This window comes from Homo sapiens, chromosome X (genome assembly GCF_000001405.40).
Source record: "Homo sapiens chromosome X, GRCh38.p14 Primary Assembly".
Classification (NCBI taxonomy): domain Eukaryota; kingdom Metazoa; phylum Chordata; class Mammalia; order Primates; family Hominidae; genus Homo; species Homo sapiens.
Window position 1 is genome coordinate 41,639,105 of NC_000023.11, and position 20,964 is coordinate 41,660,068.

The 20,964-nt window shown below is 40.9% G+C and overlaps 1 protein-coding gene and 1 long non-coding RNA gene across 14 annotated transcripts in view; one reads left to right on the forward strand and one right to left on the reverse strand.

Annotated features, from left to right (window-relative positions):
• The window catches only part of CASK (calcium/calmodulin dependent serine protein kinase), a 408,621-nt gene that overhangs the window by 124,171 nt on the left and 263,486 nt on the right, over positions 1 to 20,964 (reverse strand). The gene's annotated exons all lie outside the window — the stretch shown is intronic.
• LOC124905180 (uncharacterized) overlaps positions 1 to 20,964 on the forward strand; it is a 39,334-nt gene that overhangs the window by 17,767 nt on the left and 603 nt on the right. The window contains exons 2-3 of one of the 2 annotated variants that reach the window (XR_007068220.1): positions 8,428 to 16,701; positions 17,758 to 20,653. This is a non-coding gene — a long non-coding RNA (uncharacterized LOC124905180). Of the gene's footprint in view, positions 1 to 8,427; positions 20,654 to 20,964 lie in introns of those variants that run through there. The other variant, XR_007068219.1, reaches the window with a different exon arrangement.

Genomic DNA, 20,964 nt, shown 5'->3' on the forward strand with positions numbered 1-20,964 from the left:
CACTCTGTCGCCAGGCTGGAATGCAGTGGCGCAATCTCGGCTCACTGCAACCTCTGCCTCTCAGGTTCAAGCAAATCTCCTGCCTCAGCCTCCCGAGTAGCTGGGACTACAGGTGTGCACCACCACGCCCAGCTAATTTTTGTATTTTTAGTAGAGACGGGGTTTCACCATGTTGGGCAGGATGGTCTTGATCTCTTGGCCTCGTGATCTGCCTGCCTTGGCCTCCCAAAGTGCTCGGATTACAGGCGCGAGCCACCACGCCCAGCCTTCAACCCTGAACTGTAAATAAACATTAGTAGTTTTGCCGAGAATAGATTGGAAGGAGATGAGGGTTTAAAAAAAAAAAAAAAGCGGGAAGACTAGTTAGGAGGCTTTTACAGTAATCCAGGTGAAAGATGATGGTGGATGAAACCAGCTGGAAATAATAAAAAGGGTGAAAGAGAGATAGACTCTGAATATATATTTTTTTGTTTTCTCCAAAAAGCTTTTCTGAGGTATAATTACATACAATAAGCTGCACATTTAAAATGTACAATTTGATAAGTTTTGACATATATTTACAACCATAAAACCATTACCATGATCAAGATAATGAACACATCCATCATGCTCAAAAGTATCTTCATGCCCTTTTGTAGCCCCCATCCCCATCCCCAGTCAGCCACTGATCTACTTTCTGTCACTTAGTTTGCATTTTCTAGACTTTTATATAAATTGAATCATATAGTATGTGCTCATTATTGTCCAGCTTCTTTCATATAGCATAATGATTTTGAATCTATCCATGTTGTTGCATGTATCAATAGTTCATTCCTTTTTAACACTGAGTGGTATTCCATTGTATGCATGTATCATAATTTATCCTTTCACCTGCTGATGGACCCTGAGTTGTTTCCATTTTTTGGCTATTACACATAAAGTTGCTATGAATATTAATGTCTTTGTATGAAGATGTGTTTCATTTTTCTTAGGTAAATACTAAGGAGTAGAATGCCTGGGCTATATGATAGGAGTATGTTTAACTTTTAAGAAACTGCCAAACTGTTTTCCAAAGTGGTTATACCATTTTACGTTCCTACTAACAGTGTTATGAGTTTCCATTGTTCTTTTTTTTTTTGAAATGGAGTCTTGCTCTGTCGCCTAGGCTGGAGGGCAGTGGCATGATCTCGGCTCACTGCAACTTCTGCCTCCTGGGTTCAAGCGATTCTTCTGCCTCAGCCTCCTGAGTAGCTGGGACTACAGGCGCCTGCCACCACGCCTGGCTAATTTTTACATATTTAGTAGAGATGGGGTTTCACCATATTGGCCAGGCTGGTCTCGATCTCCTGACCTTGTGATCTGCCTGTCTTGGCCTCTCAAAGTGCTGGGATTACAGGTGTGAGCCACCGCACCTGGCCTCCATTGTTCTATATCTTTGTCAACAATTGGTATGGTCAGTCTTTTTGATTTTAGCCACTGTAAAACATGTTTACAGGTATCTCATTGTGGCATTAATTTGCATTCCCCTAATGACTAATGATGAACATCTTTTCCTGTGCTTATCTGCCATCTGTATTATCTTCTTTGTTGAAGTATCTGTTCAAATCTTTTCTCATTTTGAATTGGGTTGTTTGTATGTTTTCTTATTATTGAGTTTTGAGAATTCTTTACATATTGCAAATATGTTTAAGTTTACTACATATCTGACTGTGAACTCTATTTTTAGCAAACACCTTTTCTGCTCACCATTCACTAAGGTGATGTGGAAAGAGAGGTGAGGACAGAGTCAAAATGTATTTTTTTAAATAAAATTATGCTTCAATTATGATATCAATTATTTTCTAAGCTAGTAAAATCACAAGATTTAAAAAAAAGTCTGTTAAGGTATCTCGTCTTTTTTTTTTTTTTTTTTTTTTTTTGAGACAGAGACTCACTCTTGTTGCCCAGGCTGGAGTGCAGTAGCATGATCTTGGCTCACTGCAACCTCCACATTCTCAGTTCAAGCTATTCTCGTGCCTCAGCCTCCCAAGTAGCTGGGATTACAGGCATGCGCTATCACGCCCGGCTAATTTTTGTATTTTTAGTAGAGACGGAGTTTCACCATGTTGTCCAGGCTGTTTTTTCTGAATTAAATAGTATCTCCTGACACTAATAATAATAATGTAATATGAATTCAGAAAAAATTCAATAGTAATGTGCCTTGCACTTTAATGAAGTACATGATTCATAGTCCCTTGTGCACATGAGATTTGGAAAACACGGGTAATTGGTGTGTTCATTACCCAAAATTCAAATTGATTAGCCTGATATAAATATCCTTTTCACTTTTTTTAAAATGACAGTATACTTTACAGTCTATATATTAAGGCTATAGAGGGTGTGAGAAGAGCTCAACCATCTGTGAGGAAAATATAATCTTAGATGGCCTACTTTTGTTGGAATAAATATTCACACCAAGTATCATTAATTCAGAGAGATAAAGGTGTTAAATAGGTATCATTTAACAGTCATAAGACATTAACATATTACTTGGTCTAACACTCAAATTCTTTTTTGATGTGAAATAAGTGAATAGAACTTTTTTTTGGTGGTTTTATCAAAGAAATAATTCCTATCTTTTTTTTAATTAAAAAACTTTACTTTTATTTATTTTTTTCATGTTATAGTTTTTTTTATTATACTTTAAGTTCTAGGGTACATGTGCACAACGTGCAGGTTTGTTACTTATAGTATACATGTGCCATGTTGGTGTGCTGCACCCATTAACTCGTCATTTACATTAGGTATATCTCCTAATGCTATCCCTCTCCCCTCCCCCGACCCGACGACAGGCCCCAGTGTGTGATGTTCCCCACCCTGTGTCCAAGTGTTCTCATTGTTCAAATCCCACCTATGAGTGAGAACATGTGGTGTTTGGTTTTCTGTCCTTCTGATAGTTTGCTGAGAATGATGGTTTCCAGCTTCATCCATGTCCCTGCAAAGGACATGAACTCACCCTTTTTTAAGGTTGCATAGTATTCCATGGTGTATATGCGCCACATTTTCTTAATCCAGTCTATCAATGATGGACATTTGGGTTGGTTCCAAGTCTTTGCTATTGTGAATAGTGCTGTAATAAACAGACGTGTGCATGTGTCTTTATAGCAGCATGATTTATAATCCTTTGGTTATATACCCAGTAATGGGACGGCTGGGTCAAATGGTATTTCTGGTTCTAGATCCTTGAGGAATTGCCATACTGTCTTCCACAATGGTTGAACTAGTTTACAGTCCCACCAACAGTGTAAAAGTTTTCCTATTTCTCCACATCCTCTCCAGCACCTGTTGTTTCCTGACTTTTTAATGATTGCCATTCTAACTGGTGTGAGATGGTATCTCATTATGGTTTTGATTTGCATTTCTCTGATGGCCAGTGATGATGAGCATTTTTTCAGGTGTCTGTTGGCTGCATAAATGTCTTCTTTTGAGAAGTGTCTGTTCATATCCTTCACCCACTTTTTGATGGGGTTGTTTGATTTTTTTCTTGTAAATTTGTTTAAGTTCTTTGTAGATTCTGGATATTAGCCCTTTGTCAGATGGGTAGATTGTAAAAATTTTCTCCCATTCTGTAGGTTGCCTGTTCACTCTGACAGTAGTTTATTTTGCTGTGCAGAAGCTCTTTAGCTTAATTAGATCCCATTTGTCAATTTTGGATTTTGTTGCCATTACTTTTGGTGTTTTAGTCATGAAGTCCTTGCCCATGCCTATGTCCTGAATGGTACTGTCTAGGCTTTCTTCTAGGGTTTTTATGGTTTTAGGTCTAACATTTAAGTCTTTAATCCATCTTGAATTAATTTTTGTATAAGGTGTAAGGAAGGGATCCAGTTTCAGCTTTCTACATATGGCTACCCAGTTTTCCCAGCACCATTTATTAAATAGGGAATCCTTTCCCCATTGCTTGTTTTTCTCAGGTTTGTCAAAGATCAGATGGTTGTAGTTGTGTGGTATTATTTCTGAGGGCTCTGTTCTGTTCCATTGGTCTATATCTCTGTTTTGGTACGAGTACCATGCTGTTTTGGTACCAGTACCATGCTGTTTTGGTTACTGTAGCCTTGTAGTATAGTTTGAAGTCAGGTAGTGTGATGCCTCCAGCTTTGTTCTTTTTGCTTAGGATTGATTGTCTTGGCAATGCGGGCTCTTTTTTGGGTCCATGTGAACTTTAAAGTAGTTTTTCCAATTCTGTGAAGAAAGTCATTGGTAGCTTGATGGGGATGGCATTGAATCTATAAATTACTTTGGGCAGTATGGCCATTTTCATGATATTGATTCTTCCTATCCATAAGCATGGAATATTCTTCCATTTGTTTGTGTCCTCATTTATTTCATTGAGCAGTGGTTTGTAGCTCTCCTTGAAGAGGTCCTTCACATCCTTTGTAAGTTGGATTCCTAGGTATTTTATTCTCTTTGAAGCAATTGTGAATGGGAGTTCACTCATGATTTGGCTCTCTATTTGTCTGTTATTGGTGTATAGGAATGCTTGTGATTTTTGCACATTGATTTTGTATCCTGAGACTTTGCTGAAGTTGCTTATCAGCTTAAGGAGATTTTGGGCTGAGATGATGGGGTTTTCTAAATATACAATCATGTCATCTGCAAACAGGGACAATTTGACTTCCTCTTTTCCTAATCGAATACCTTTTATTTCTTTCTCTTGCCTGATTGCCCTGGCCAGAACTTCCAACACTATGTTGAATAGGAGTGGTGAGAGAGGGCATTCCTGTCTTGTGCCAGTTTTCAAAGGGAATGCTTCCAGTTTTTGCCCATTCAGTATGATATTGGCTGTGGGTTTGTCATAAATAGCTCTTACTATTTTGAGATAAGTTCCATCAATACCTAGTTTATTGAGAGTTTTTAGCATGAAGCGCTGTTGAATTTTGTCAAAGGCCTTTTCTGCATCTATTGAGGTAATCATGTGGTTTTTGTTGTTGGTTCTGTTTATATGATGGATTATGTTTATTGATTTGCATATGTTGAACCAGCCTTGCATCCCAGGGATGAAGCTGACTTGATCGTGGTGGATAAGCTTTTTGATGTGCTGCTGTATTCGGTTTACCAGTATTTTATTGAGGATTTTTGCATTGATGTTCATCAGGGATATTTGTTGCAGGAAGTCAGAGACCTTAAACAGAAGGACTGGCTGAAACTATGGCAGAAGAACGTGGATTATGAAGATTTTATAGACATTTATTAGTTCCTCAAATTAATACTTTTGTAATTTCTTATGCCTGTCTTTACTGCAATCTTTAAACATAAATTGTAAAGATTTCATAGACACTTATCACTTCTTTAATCAATACCTTTGTGATTTCCTATGCCTGTCTTTACTTTAATCTCTTAATCCTGTCAGCCGAGAAAGATGTATGTCACCTTAGGACCTTGTAATAATTGCATTAACTGCACAAATTGTACAGCATGTGTGTTTGAGCAATATGAAATGTAGGCACCTCAAAAAAAGAACAGGATAACAGCAATTGTTCAAGGAATACGAGAGATAACCTTAAACTCTGACTGCTGGTGAGCCAGGCAGAACAGAGCCATATTTCTCTTCTTTCAAAAGCAAATGGGAGAAATATCGCTGAATTCTTTTTCTCAGCATGGAACGTCCTTGAGAAAGAGAATGCGCACCTAGGAGTAAGTCTTTGAACTGGCCCCCTTGAGGCGTACTTGTCTCTTATGGTCAAGATTGCAGAGGTAAGATAGACTCTAGTCTCCTATAGGCTCTTAGGCTCATTAGGAAGAGGAAATTCTTGCCTAATAAATTTTAGTCAGACCAGTTGATCTCAAAACCTTGTCTCCTGATAAGATGTTATCAATGACAATAGTGCCTGAAACTTCATTAGCAATTTTAAATTCGCCTCAGTCCTGTGGTCCTGTGATCTCGCCTTGCCTCCACTTGCCTTGTAATATTCTATTACCCTGTTAAGTACTTGATGTCTGTCACCTACACCTATTCGCACACTCCTTCCTCTTTTGAAAATCCTTAATAAAAACTTGCTAGTTTTTGTGGCTTGAAAGGCATCACAGATCCTACTACTAGAATCCCTTACAATCGCACTTTAAAAACCCAATTGTCCCAACAGTCTGAACAACCAAAACATGATTTAACAACTCCCCACTCCCAATTACATTTGGCATTGTTTACTTTAAATTTTTTAAATGTTCCTAAAGATAATACTCTAACTGCAGCCGAATGCCATTATACAGGCAAAAAATTTTCCTTAAACGAAGGCAAGCCAGTGTTATGGAAAAACTCCCAAACCAATACCTAGGAACCTGGCACAATTATAACATGAGGAAGAGGATATGCTTGTGTTTCACCAGGAGATCATCAATCCCCTGTCTAAGTACCCACCAGAAGACTCAAGCTTCAGGTGAATACTGACAATCAAAACCACAGAGAAAAGACGTCTGTGTCAGAGACTGCCTTCAGATATGATGAGATCTGTGCTGATTCCTCAGAAACAGGCACATCAAATCACAATAGGTGTAAATCAATCCTCCCTGAAGGCAATGGAGACCCATCTAACTAATCCCACTTCTCCTGATTACTTTTCTTTTTCTCCTTACAAACCTAAAAATCTCACCATTTCTATTAGCCTGAAAATAACATCCCTCTGTTCTTCTCTTCCTCCTTCAGCACTCAATCTCGCTTACACTAGGTTTTATTTAATGATTCTCCTCCTTATACTTTCTGTCTCACCAGTTTCCTCTCACACTGATTTACCTGCTACACATAATTATTCTTATTAGGCTTATGTGCCTTTTCCTCCACTTATTCGACCTCTCACCTAGATAGATGCTCCTGCAGAAATCTACACTAACGATAGTGTGTGGATGCCTAGAGCCACAGATGACCGTTGCCCTGCTCAACCAGGAGAAGAAGGCACTGCATTTAATGTTACCATAGGTTATAAATACCCCCCTCTGTGCCTCGGACATGCACCTAGTTGCATCCATCTACGAACTCAAGTCTAGGCTGCTTATCTTCCGGAAACATCAGCTACAGATAAAACAGGACATTTAGTCTCTGGTCTCTCCCTTTCTCCTTTAAAACAAATGAAAGGAGGAGTAATAGGAGATACCCCATACTTTCAATATAAACCTGCAGGAAAACCATGCCCTAAAAATTTTGAGGGCCCATCTAAAACTTTAATTTAGGAAGACTGTGTTAACTCACATGCAGTAATACTAAAAAATGACTCATATGGTCTAGTAATAGACTAGGCACCAAAAGGCTATTTAAAAAACAATTGCTCCTCTGGTGGAAAGGAATGCCTGGAGGCTACTTATTTTACTTCTTATCAGGAGAATGAGAATCATCATTCTACTGTGCATACGAGGATCAGCTCATTCTTTCTCTTAAAATAGGAAGATAAAGGCATTACCCACCCCCAGGCCTCGTATGATACTCCCCATTCTGAGCCCAGAACACCCAGAACTTTAAAAATTGGCTATTGCCATGTCTGGACTGCCAGTATAGGAAAAGAAAACTATTTCGACTGTTGTTCCCATTACCATCCCACTCTCTCAGTATCAACGTAGACCCAGACATTCTGCTTTACTTACCTCCAACCTGACTATTCCCATACAGAGTTGTGTTAAGCCTCCTTACACACTGTTAGTAGGAAATATCAAAATTTAGACGAATAATCAAACCGTCCGATGCATCAATTGTCATCTATACACTTGTATTAACTCCCATTTTGACTCCAGGAAAAGTGTAATGTTGGTTCGAGCTCAAGAAGGAATCTAGGTTCCGGTAACTTTACCTAGACCTTAGGTATCCTCCCCCTCAATACATTTAATTAATGAAGTGCTACAGCGAATTCTAAAAAAAGATCTAAGAGATTTGTTTTCACTTTAATTGCTGTTATCATAGGCCTAATTACTGTCACTGCAATGGCCACCACTGCTAGAATGGCATTACACCAATCTATTCAAAGGGCTCATTTTGTTAATGATTGGCAAGCCAATTCCACCCAAATGTGGAATTCTCAACAAGGCATCGATCAAAAATTGGCAAATCAAATTAATGATTTAAGACAGTCTGTTATTTGGCTTAGAGATCAAGTAGTGAGTCTCGAACATCGCATTGCAAATGCAGTGCGATTGGAATACTTCGGATTTCTGCATCACCCCGTATTCCTATAATGAGACTGATAATTCATAGGAAAAAGTCAAAGGACACCTTCTAGGTAAAGAAGATAATTTATCATTAGACATAATTAAAGAAACAAATTTTTGAAGCCTCTCAAGCTCACTTATCCATTCTGCCTGGAGCTGAGGCGTTAGATCAGGTGGCAGAAAATCTTTATAGATTAAACCCCACGACTTAGATTAAGCCTATTGGGGGCTCCACTGTAGTAAATTTTAGAATTAAGTTTCTCTGTTTAATCGGTTTGTTTTTAGTGTGCTGGACCAGTCAAAGAATCCTGCGTCAAAATCGAGAGAACGAACAAGCCTTCATCGCCATGGCACATTTATATAAAAAGAAAGGGAGAGATGTTGCAGGAAGTCAGAGACCCCAAACAGAAGGACCGGCTGAAACCATGGCAGAAAAACGTGGATTGTGAAGAGTTTATAGACATTTATTAGTTCCCCAAATTAATACTTTTGTAATTTCTTATGCCTGTCTTTACTGCAATCTCTAAACATAAATTGTAAAGATTTCATAGACACTTATCACTTCCCCAATCAATACCCTTGTGATTTCCTATGCCTGTCTTTAATCTCTTAATCCTGTCAGCCTAAGGCTATGTCACCTTAGGACCCTGTAATAATTGCATTAACTGCACAAATTGTACAGCATGTGTGTTTGAGCAACATGAAATGTAGGCACCTTGAAAAAAGAACAGGATAACAGCAATTGTTCAAGGAATACGAGAGATAACCTTAAACTCTGACTGCTGGAGAGCCAGGCAGAACAGAGCCATATTTCTCTTCTTTCAAAAGCAAATGGGAGAAATATCGCTGAATTCTTTTTCTCAGCATGGAACGTCCCTGAGAAAGAGAATGCGCACCTAGGAGTAAGTCTTTGAACTGGCCCCCGCCCACCCCGAGGCGTACCTGTCTCTTATGGTCAAGATTGCAGAGGTAAGATAGACTCCAGTCTCCCATAGCACTCCCAGGCTTATTAGGAAGAGGAAATTCCCGCCTAATAGATTTTAGTCAGACCAGTTGATCTCAAAACCCTGTCTCCTGATAAGATGTTATCAATGACAATAGTGCCTGAAACTTCATTAGCAATTTTAATTTCGCCTCAGTCCTGTGGTCCTGTGATCTCGCCCTGCCTCCACTTGCCTTGTAATATTCTATTACCCTGTTAAGTACTTGATGTCTGTCACCCACACCTATTCGCATACTCCCTCCCCTTTTGAAAATCCCTAATAAAAACTTGCTAGTTTTTGTGGCTCGAAAGGCATCACAGATCCTACCAACGTGTGACGTCTCCCCTGGATGCCCAGCTTTAAAATTTCTCTCTTTTGTACTCTGTCCCTTTATTTATCATGCCGGCCGACGCTTAAGAAAAATAGAAAAGAACCTACGTGATTATCGGGGCAAGTCCCCCGATAGATATTGGTCTAAAATTCTCCTTTTTTTTGTTGTGTCTCTGCCAGGCTTTGGTATCAGGATGATGCTGACCTCATAAAATGAGTTAGGGAGGATTCCCTCTTTTTCTATTGATTGGAATAGTTTCAGAAGGAATGGTACCAGCTCCTCCTTGTACCTCTGGTAGAATTGGGCTGTGAATCCATCTGGTCCTGGACTTTTTTGCTTGGTAGGCTATTAATTATTGCCTCAATTTCAGAGCCTGTTATTGGTCTATTCAGGGATTCAACTTCTTCCTGGTTTAGTCTTGGGAGGGTGTATGTGTCCAGGAATTTATCCATTTCTTCTAGATTTTCTAGTTTATTTGAGTAGAGGTGTTTATAGTATTCTCTGATGGTAGTTTGTATTTCTGTGGGATTGGTGGTGATATCCCCTTTATCATTTTTTATTGCGTCTATTTGATTCTTCTCTCTTTTCTTATTAGTCTTGCTAGCGGTGTATCAATTTTGTTGATCTTTTCAAAAAACCAGCTCCTGGATTCATTTATTTTTTTGAAGGGTTTTTTGTGTCTCTATTTCCTTCAGTTCTGCTCTGATCTTAGTTATTTCTTGCCTTCTGCTAGCTTTTGAATTGTGTTTGCTCTTGTTTCTCTAGTTCTCTTTCAATTGTGATGTTAGGGTGTCAATTTTAGATCTTTCTTGCTTTCTCTTGTGGGCATTTAGTGCTATAAATTTCCCACTACACCCTGCTTTAAATGTGTCCCAGAGATTCTAGTATGTTGTGTCTTTGTTCTCATTGGCTTCAAAGAACATCTTTATTTCTGCCTTCATTTTGTTATGTACCCAGTAGTCATTCAGGAGCAGGATGTTCAGTTTCCATGTAGTTGAGCAGTTTTGAGTGAGTTTCTTCATCCTGAGTTCTAGTTTGATTGCACTGGTCTGAGAGACAGTTTGTTATAATTTCTGTTCTTTTACATTTGCTGAGGAGTGCTTTACTTCCAACTGTGTGGTCAATTTTGGAATGTGCAATGTGGTGCTGAGAAGAATGTGTATTCTGTTGATTTGGGGTGGAGAGTTCTGTAGATGTCTATTAGGTCTGCTTGGTGCAGAGCTGAGTTCAATTCCTGGATATCCTTGTTAACTTTTTCTCTCGTTGATCTGTCTGATATTGACAGTGGGGTGTTAAAGTCTCCCATTATTATTGTGTGGGAGTCTAAGTCTCTTTTTAGGTCTCTAAGGACCTGCTTTTTGAATCTAGGTGCTCCTGTATTGGGTGCATATATATTTAGGATAGTTAGCTCTTCTTGTTGAATTGATCCCTTTACCATTATGTAATGGCCTTCTTTGTCTCTTTTGATCTTTGTTGGTTTAAAGTCTGTTTTATCAGAGACTAGGATTGCAACCCCTGCTTTTTTTTTGTTTTCCATTTGCTTGGTAGATCTTCCTCCATCCCTTTATTTTGAGCCTATGTGTGTCTCTGCATGTGAGATGTGTCTCCTGAATACAGCACACTGATGGGTCTTGACTCTTTATCCAATTTGCCAGTCTGTGTTTTTTAATTGGAGCATTTAGCCCATTTACATTTAAGGTTAATATTGTTATGTGTGAATTTGATCCTGTCATTATGATGTTAGCTGGTTATTTTGCTCGTTAGTTGATGCAGTTTCTTCCTAGCATCGATGGTCTTTACAATTTGGCATGTTTTGCAGTGGCTGTGAACTTTAAAAAATTATATAGCTGGGACTATAGGTGCATGGCATCATGCCTGGTTTTTGTGGTTTTTTTTTGTTTTTTTTTGTTTTTGACACAAAGCAATGGTATTATGACTTTGGGTAGCCTTCATTACAAAGTTTTTCTTCATCTTATTTGTTTTTTTTTTTCTTTTTGTGGAGACAGGGTTTTGCTCTGTCTCCCAGGTTGGAGTACAGTGGCATGGTCGTAGCTCACTGCAGCCTTTCACTCCTGGGCTCAAGTAATCCTCCCACCTTACTCTAATTACTTAGAGTAATTACTCAGTAATTACTTACTCAGCCTCTCAAGTAGCTGAGACAACTATAGGCTCAAGCCACTGCAACCAGTATCATTTTATTTCTTCAATTTGCAAGGTATCCAGGTGTTTTTCATATTTAAATTTCAACCATTCTAAAAAAATACCTCTTACATCCACAGTAATGATTTATAAATACACATGGACAAATACTGAAATATAACATAAGCCTGCTCTTACCAGCTGGATAACATTCTAATTGAGTTTTTCCATCTTCAGATGACATAAGTAGTGAAGTTAAACTGTTGTTTAGACATGGCATGCGATACTCAGCTCAAAGAGCCGTCTTAAACTTTTTCATTTAAGTTACTGACATTTTTTGTCTTTCTTGTGCTAGAAATTTATTATGTATTAAGCTCAAATTACTTAGAACGAGAACTATAATCATTGGCAGGAACAAAGGTTTCCAAAAATAAATATGCTATTAGCCAAGATAAGCTTTGAAAGCACTGTAAGTAGGTATGGTATAATGTTAAACCACCTTCTAAGAGATTTGAAAAATGACTAAAATGCCTGCCATTTTCATTGTTATTTGGCATTTAAACCAGCTTTGAATGAACAAAAGATCCCCGTTATGGAGAAAGTGAGAAAAGTAAAGGAGAAATAGGAATTACCTCTAAAGTGTTCATTATATATCTGGGAGGGCAAAACAAACAAATAAAAAACAAAACAAAACAAAGAAAGTATCTAAAAATTGTTCACTACTCTTTTCTAGGGGAAATCAGGAATAACTAGCACTGAGTATCAGAGAGGTGAATGCATATTTTTGAAGTAGCAGTCCTCCCACCTCAGGCTCCTGAGTCACTGGGACTGCAGGTGCGCACCACCACGCTTGGCTAATTTTTTAATTTTTATTTTTGTAGAGACGGGATTTCCCTATGTTGCCCAGGCTGAGAAGTAATATTCTTAAGGAGAATCAAGATCCACTGAAATCTCAAAATTGTCCTGTAATACTATTCCATGTCATCACCTTAAGATACATTATTAATCTACTTTTAAAATATTTTATTGTTTTGCATAATCTGAGGAAGTAGCATGGTATAATACAACGAACATTCATTCATTGATTAAATCATTAATATTCATTGAGCACCTACTGCATGCCAGATACATTCTAGGTGCTAGACAGAAGTGAACCAAGAGCCAAAAATCCCTAGACTTATGCAGCTTATATTTTATGACCTAGACAGACAATAAACATATAAGTAACATATAGGTATGTCTTAGGGTGACAGATGCTATGGAGAAAGATAAGGGAGGGGAAGGGGGATAGGGAATACTGGTGGCATTCCTTCCCCCACATTTTAAATAGGGTGGTCAGGGAAGGTCTTACTAAGAAGCTGATACCTAAGCAAAGACCTGAAGATGGTGAGGGAACAAGCCATGATATCTGAGGGAAGAGTATTCTAGGGAAGGGTCATATAAAGGTGCTGAGGTGAAATGTGCCTGCAGTCTGAAGAACAGCAAGGAGGCTGATATGATGGGAATGGAGTAAGCAGGGAGAGTAGGAAGGGGTGACATGAGTCAAGTGTCAGGGAGCCAAACTGTATACAGAATTAAGAAAGAATACCTAGGGGGAGAGGCCTGGATTCAGGAGTCATTGTTGTACAGATAGCATTTAAAGCCATCAAAACTAGATGAGCTCTCCAAGGGCCGGAGTGTAGATGGACGTGATATTTTGAAATATATATTTGGTCTACAGCTCCGTTTCCTGGAATACAATTCCTAAAATCCTTAGAATGGCGTAAGGGCTATCTTTGTATGCCAATGACTGACTGATGGCTGGCAGCCCCTAGGCAGTTGCAGGATGAGGGGTGGTCACAGGAAAGACCAAGGAGGGATGAGAGGGTTGGGACTTTTGGCCCCACCCCCAACCTCCAGGGAGGGGAGAGGGGCTGAAGGTTGAGTTGACCTCCAATGGTCAATGGTAATGAAGCCTCCATAGAAACCCAAAAGGACAGGGTTCAGGGAGTTTCCGGATAGCTGCACACATGGAGGTTCCTGGAGGGTGGTGCATCCACAGAGGGCATGGAAGCTTCCCACTTCACCCCTATACCTCCATCAATGCATCTCTTCATCTGTATCCTTTGTAATTTTCTTTATAACACAATGGTAAAAGTGTTTCCCTGACTTCTGTGAGCTGATCTAACAAATTAATGGAACCCAAAGAGCAGGTGTAGGATCTCTGATTTGTAGCCAGTCAGTCTGACATTCTGGAGGCCTGGACTTGTGACTGGTGTCTGAAAGGGTGGGAAGGGGAGGCCTTGGGGACCAAGCCCTCAAACTGTGGGATGTGATACTATAGTGTCAGAATTGAATTAGAGAATACCCAGCAGCAGGGCTGATTACTTGCTTCTTAATGGGGAGAAATCCCCACACATTTGGTGAAAGAAGTCTTGTGTGTTGATTGTTGTTGTTGTGTGGTGCGAGAGCAGAGGAAAACAGTTCTGAGTTTTTCCACCTTCAGTTAGTGTCAGTGAAGTAGGGTTTGCTAGAACGGCCCTGGCTCACAGAAATATGTGGTTTGGGAAGAGAAAGAATGAAAGGGTGGGAGATGAGGAACCTTTGATTCCTGGTTCATTATCGTGGTCTTCCATGGTTTGGAGCTGCAACTGTGTCGCAATCAATTGCTAAAGGTAAAAGTTACCAGTGGAATTTAGAGATGGATCCAACTCAGGGAGTTGGTTCACTGGATGCATAAGGATATGCAAACTAGTAAGAAAAAGATGAAATATTCACTCCCTTGGTGGTGGTTGTCTGTAATAGCTGAACAGAAATGAAACAAATGCTGGATGAGGCCTTGATGCTAGACCAAGCTCAGATTTCAGTCTATCTGAGCCCAGGCCACTAGCCTTCAAGCTGACCCCCAAAGGAAAAATTATACAGGGATGACAGTACCTCTACGACCTGTGGTTACCACGAAGGTAGTTGATGTGAGGGAAGGGCAAAACCAAGAAACTACTGAAACCAGAGGGTACAGTGTGAAGAAATTGTCTCATTTCATAGATTGGTATCATCAGTTTACTGAAAATCCTTTACTAAAATGGATTGTGAGAATAACTAATTTAGGGCACTTTCTTTGGTTTTAAATGCTGCAGAGTGGACAGGCATGTTTGGGTTGATGCAGGACCCACAGCTCACTACTGAACAATCAACAATGGGTATAATGTGATCCAGACACACAGGGAGTTATTCCTGAGGGAACAGTCAGCCTAGTGAATGGAATAAAAGCCACTGTAAGGTCTGTACACCCTGAGAAGGTAGAGACTGTCCAACTCTACCTATCAATGCCAAGTGGAGTACCCCAGGTGAAGCGGCTCATTTGGTTCCTATGCAGGCCATGTGGGACTGGCTTTATGATGACTGAGATATTCACTCACTGAATACATCCATTACTCTGGCTGTAGTAAATGCTATGGCTGAGGGAGCCTCTTTTGTATGGGCACCAATGAAAACATGAGCGTAATTAACAAAAGACTGGGGAAAGGCAGAGAGGAGAGTCACAGGACTCATCCCAGGAAGGTGGAAAGTTTAAATGGTTATTAATAAATAAGGTGAATGAAGAAAACAGTGATGGGGTGAAACTAAGAGAAAAAAGAAAGAGGAGAATCATGGGACTCATCCCAGCAGGGTGGAATCTTTAGAGGGCTAATAAGAAATGGGAAGAATAGGGCCGGATGCTGTGGCTCACATCTGTAATCCCAGCACTTTGGGAGGCCGAGGCGGGTGGATCACCTGAGCTCAGGAGTTTGAGAGCATCCTGGCAAACATGGTGAAACCCCCTCTCTAATAAAAATACAAAAAAATTAGCCAGGCATGGTGGCGGGCACCTGTAATCGCAGCTACTCGGGAAGCTGAGGCAGGAGAATGGCTTGAACCTGGGAGGCGGAGGTTGCAGTGAGCTGAGATTGCGCCACTGCACTCCAGCCTGGGTGACAGGGCAAGACTCTGTCTCAAAAAAATAAAAAAGAAATAAAAAGAAATGAGATGAATAAAGTGGAAATCGATGGGGTTAAAACAAAGATCTCAATATAATACTATCAAAGGTTGGTAGGGAGCTTCTGCTGTTCTCCCAATGTTAAGGGATTCCAAACAGGTTTGCTGTATTCACCCCAGTTTGGAGAAATTGAAAAAGTCAGAAGGCAGAGATTACAGTGAGAAAGCTGACCAACAGTTACTTGGGGTAATGTTGAGGCAGGTTAATCAATACAAAGACTGACAAAAGGGGCAAGGTCCCTTGGCTCAACCTGCTGTTGGGGACTCAACATTTTTTTTTTTTTTTTTTAAACAAGAAAGGGTAAAAGTGAGGGTTGATAGGAGTATGAGATTTGGAATGTTTAAACAGGATATACATAAATAAGTTATGTCTCCTTTACCTAAATGTTTTATGGAACTGGATAATTATGACTGGGTGGAGAACACTTCCCCTACCCAGTATTGTAAAACAGAAGAAATGTAAATCTGCACTTCGAGAAATATTAATTGGACACGCTAACTAGGCACCAGTAAGATTGCTTGAGCTCACACAGTGTGGAGTTGAGAAGCTGGAGTGCTGGTAGGGACAAATTCTCCATCTGCTCGCCCTTTGCAGGATGTTTACTGGGGCTTATGGCCAAAGTCTGTGAGCATCTCCCAGTGACAACCACTAGGACTTTGCACTAGAGAATTTCCATCTCGGTGCATTTACTACCTTGCTATGGGACATTAACTGAAACTATCCCTAATGACTGAAGGACATAAAATGATCTTGACACCTGAAATACCCATGCTTTCTCACATGATGTCAGAGAAACATTCAAATGGGGATGGCAGCGCCCAGAATAGTTCCATAATAAAATGGAAATGGTTTATGCAGGAACATCCTCTCCGGGAAGTGCAAGGAGGAAACATCCTCAAGCAGGGAGCCTCTTTTCCCCTAGGACTGACTCTGGAACTGTGTGAGGAACTGTGGGATTCTACTGACACTTGGACAGGGCCCCGTGAACAGCTCTCAACTGACCAACGAAGAGCTGCTTGGTGTGTGGATGACAGTTCCAAGGTGAATCGACAGCATCCTGTTTGGAAGGATGCCACTCTTGATCAAAGAAGGTAAGATCACATTAGCTTGGCAGTTGAATTGCATTCTGAAGAAATGAACAATAACAAAAGCTCCCGTGTTTGGTTTTTTACTGACTCATGGACAGTCACCAGTGGCCTGGTCACATGGTCAGGCAGAAGGGCAGTGGAAACCTGGCCTATTTATTAAAGGGATGCCCATATGGAGAATGGCCCTATGGAAATTTGAGGGGTGCAATAAGTAGAATATGTTGATGCCCATCATAAGAGCCTCTTTCTGGGTTTGGAAAATGATTGACATTGACAAGCAGAGAACCCTGTGTGCTCCCTCGAGGTGGCCACCTGGGTCCATCAAATGAGTGGATAAACGGGTACTGCAACAGTGCAGAGATGGGCTGCATCTAGACAGGTTTCTTTTGTATCATTTCAGGCACAAAATGCCAATAAGAACTGTTCTGTCTGCCAGCAAAAGAGACAGACACTGCCCATGGCTGTGGGGCAGATTTCCCTGGTGGGAAAGCCCTGAACAAGCTGGCAAGTGAGGCTGATGCTGGTAACCCTGGGAGGCCACAGATGGGTTTTGACAGGAGTAGACACTGATTCTGGACTGGGCTTTGCTTGCCCGGTGGAAGATGTGAATGATGAGAATACCATAAAAAAGCCAGAACAGAAGATATTGCACATATTTGGAGAGCTGAACACCATTTCTTTAGGCCAAAGAACACACGGTACAGCCCATAATGTTCCAGCAGTGGGCAGAGATATTCTTCTCAGAGTAATAGTTTGATAGAGACTAAAATGGGCAATGAAAACATTGGTTGTCTAAAACAGGGGGAGATGAAAGCAGGAAGGGCTGGCTTACTTGCCTTTACCAGTGTGTACTCACACTCAACATGAGTGGGGCTAAAGGAGTGTCCCCACTAGATATTCTTTCGTTTTTCTGATTGATCTGGGGAAGGGGGGTGGTAGAGGATGCTGTTATGACTATGCAATTCTTGACAAGAGGGGAGTATGCTGATATAATGACTATACTTTTTTCTTTCCTTCTTTCCCATATCATCTAAACTCCCCCTGCCCCTCCCTATGCAGTGGTTCTAGGACCAGAGCCATAACTACCAGTGTTAGAACCAGGGATGATTCCTAAACAAGAAATTGTAACTATGTTTTTAAACCTTGTGTCAGAATTCCTAAGGACCTGATGGGGGTGGGTTGTGCAAAACGGGTTAATTGTGAATGCAGCTATATTGCCTGGTGGTAAAAACGGTCCACTAAATTGGCACCTATGTAACCTTAGTCTCCCTGCATGGGAGTGGACTGAGGAGGAGGTAATTACTAGACTAATATTGCTGTCTGCCATCTAGACCAGCACGATGTTGATTCTAATGTTTCTTCCAAAGGTTATTAATAAAGTGAGGAAAAAATTAACAGCTGAGAGTAAAGGAATAAATAAATGTGTTATGAATTCAGGGAAATCCATTATCACATTACATTAACACCTTGAAAGAGACTCAGAGCAAGAAAGGATACTGTTTCTTAGCTCAATTATATCAGGTGTCTGAAACGGTGAAACCAAGACCATTCCTGCTTTTAGAACCTGGCAAGATCAATGGAAAGCCTGCAAACCTGAGTGGCCTCATGCTGGGAGACCTATTCATACATTATGATGATGGACTGAACTAATTATCAATGCCTGAATGAGATTCTAGTAATGTGGCAGTGTCTTTTGAATTATATATTCTTTTATATTTCTTTTTTTTTTGTTTGTTTGAGACAGAGTTTCGCTCTTGTAGCCCAGGCTGGAGTGCTATGGCGTGATCTTGGCTCACTGCAACCTCTGCCTCCTGGGTTCAAGCGATTCTCCTGCCTCAGCCTCCCAAGTAGCTGGGATTACAGGCACCTGCCACCACACCCAGCTAATTTTTATATTTTTAGTAGAGATGGGGTTTCACCACATTGGCCTATATTTTTTTAATGTAAGGAATCCAGGTTTGAAGACCAGAGGTATACTGTGAAATATATATTTGGTCCTCTAGCTCATTTCCTGGCATACAACTCCTAAAATCCTTAGAAACGCCAAAGATGTCTGATGGCTGGCAGCCTCTAGGCAGCTTCAGGATGGGGTCACAAAGACCCAGGCAGGATTAGAGGGTTGGGACTTTCAGCCCCACCCCTCAATCTCTGGGTAGGGGAGAGGTACCAAAGGTTAAGTTGATCACCAATGGCCGATGGTTTAATCAATCATGCCTATAGTAATAAGGCCTCCATAAAACCCCAAAAGGACAGGATTTGGGGAGCTTTTGAATAGCTGTACACATGGAGGTTCCTGGAAGGTGTTGTGCCTGGGGAGGGTATGGAAGCTCTGCTCCCCTCCTCTCCTGTAACTTGTCCTGTGCATCTCTTTATCTATATTCTTTGTAATATCTCTTGTAACAAACCGGTAAACATAAGTAAATGTTTCCCTGAATTCTGTGAGCTGCTGTAGCAAATTAACCAACCCCAAAGAGGAAGAGGCTGTGGTGTCCCCAATTTGTAGTTGGTTGGCAGAAGTTTCAGCGGCCTGGACTTATGACTGGTGTCTGAAGAGGTGAGGGTTGTGGGACTGAGCCCTCAATCTGTGGGATCTGATGCTATCTCCAGGTAGATAGTGTTTGAATTTAGTTGGGAGGACACCCAGCTGCAGTCTGCTGCAGAGTTGATTGCTTGCTTGTTGGTGGGAAGAAATCTCCACACTTCTGGTCACAGAAGTCTTCTGTATTGATTGTTGCTGTGTGGTGTGAGAGCAGTTTGAGTTTTTTCAGCTTCAACAGAGAAAAAGAGGAGGAGCAAGGATGGAGGCCTATGGCATTCCAGTGTGAAGAGGTGGGAGAGGGGAGATGAGGAAGAATCAGTAGGATCTGAGAAGGAGCAGCCAGGAGGTAGAAGGACAACCAAGAGAGCAGGTGTTCCAGAAGCCCAGAGAAGACAGTGTTTCAGAAGGATGGATGTCAAATGTTGCTGACAGGCCAAGAAGAAGCCCTGGGATTTGAACACTGGACTTAGCAACATGAAGGTCAGTAGTGACTTGACCAGAGCTGTTTTAGTGGAATAAATAAGATTGTGATATTGACTAGACTGGGTTCATGGGAAAGGAATGGGAAACTGGACAATGTGAGTAGTCTATACAACTCTTTTCAGGAGTTGCTGTCAAGGGAAGCAAAGAATAGGGGCAAAACCTGGAGGGGGTTGTAGGGTCAGGAGAAGGTATTATGTCTATATAAGAGTGTGCATAATACAAATAACCTATAGCATGTTAGATCCAACAGAGAGAGAACTCTGATGATGCAGGAAGGGAGGAAGTTGTTGGGTCAATGTGGTCAAATAAAAAGGGATAGGATCTAGTGCAAAATCAAAGGGTAGTGGTAGGCTGAATTAGAATCCTGGTTTCACCACTGACAACTTCTGTGACTTGGTGCAAATTCTTTTTTTTTTTTTGGGAGACGGAGACTCGCTCTGTCACCCAGGCTGGAGTATAGTGACACGATCTTGGCTCACTGCAACCTCTGCCTCCCGGGTTCAAGCTATTCTCCTGCTTCAGCCTCCTCAGTAGCTGGGGCTACAGGCGCCCGCCACCACGCTAGGCTAATTTTTGTACTTTTAGTAGAGATGGGGTTTCATCATATTGGCCAGGCTGGTCTCAAACTCCTGACCTTGTGATCCACCCACCTTGGCCTCCCAAAGTGCTGAGATTACAGGCATGAGCCACCGCACCCGGCCAACTTGGCGCAAATTCTTAACCTCTCCAAGCGTTAGTCTTTCTAACATCTAAAATGAAAATTGCCTGGAATTATTGGGCTGTATAATGTTTTAATCAAAAAGTACTGTTTCACTGCTGTCCCAAGTTATAATTTTCCTTAATACTCACTGGCAAGATGGGATATAAAATGAACTTTTAAAATCTGCCTTTTGGCTGGGCGCAGTGGCTCATGCCTGTAATCCCAGCACTTTGGGAAGCTGAGGCGGGCAGATCGCTCGAGTCCAGGAGTTTGAGACAAGCCTGGGCGACATGGTGAAACCCCCATCTCTACAAAAAATACAAAAATTAGCCAGGTGTGGTACTGCATGCCTGTGCTCCCAGCTACTGGGGAGGTTAAAGTGGGAGGATCGATTGAGCCCAGGAGCAGAGGTTGCAGTGAGTAGAGATGGTGCCACTGTACTCCAGCCTGGGCAATGTTGTCAGACCTTGTCTAAAAAAAAAAAAAAAAACCTGCCGTTTTCCTAAGACAGAAAATTTATACCTAGTATCTACTGAAAAATAGT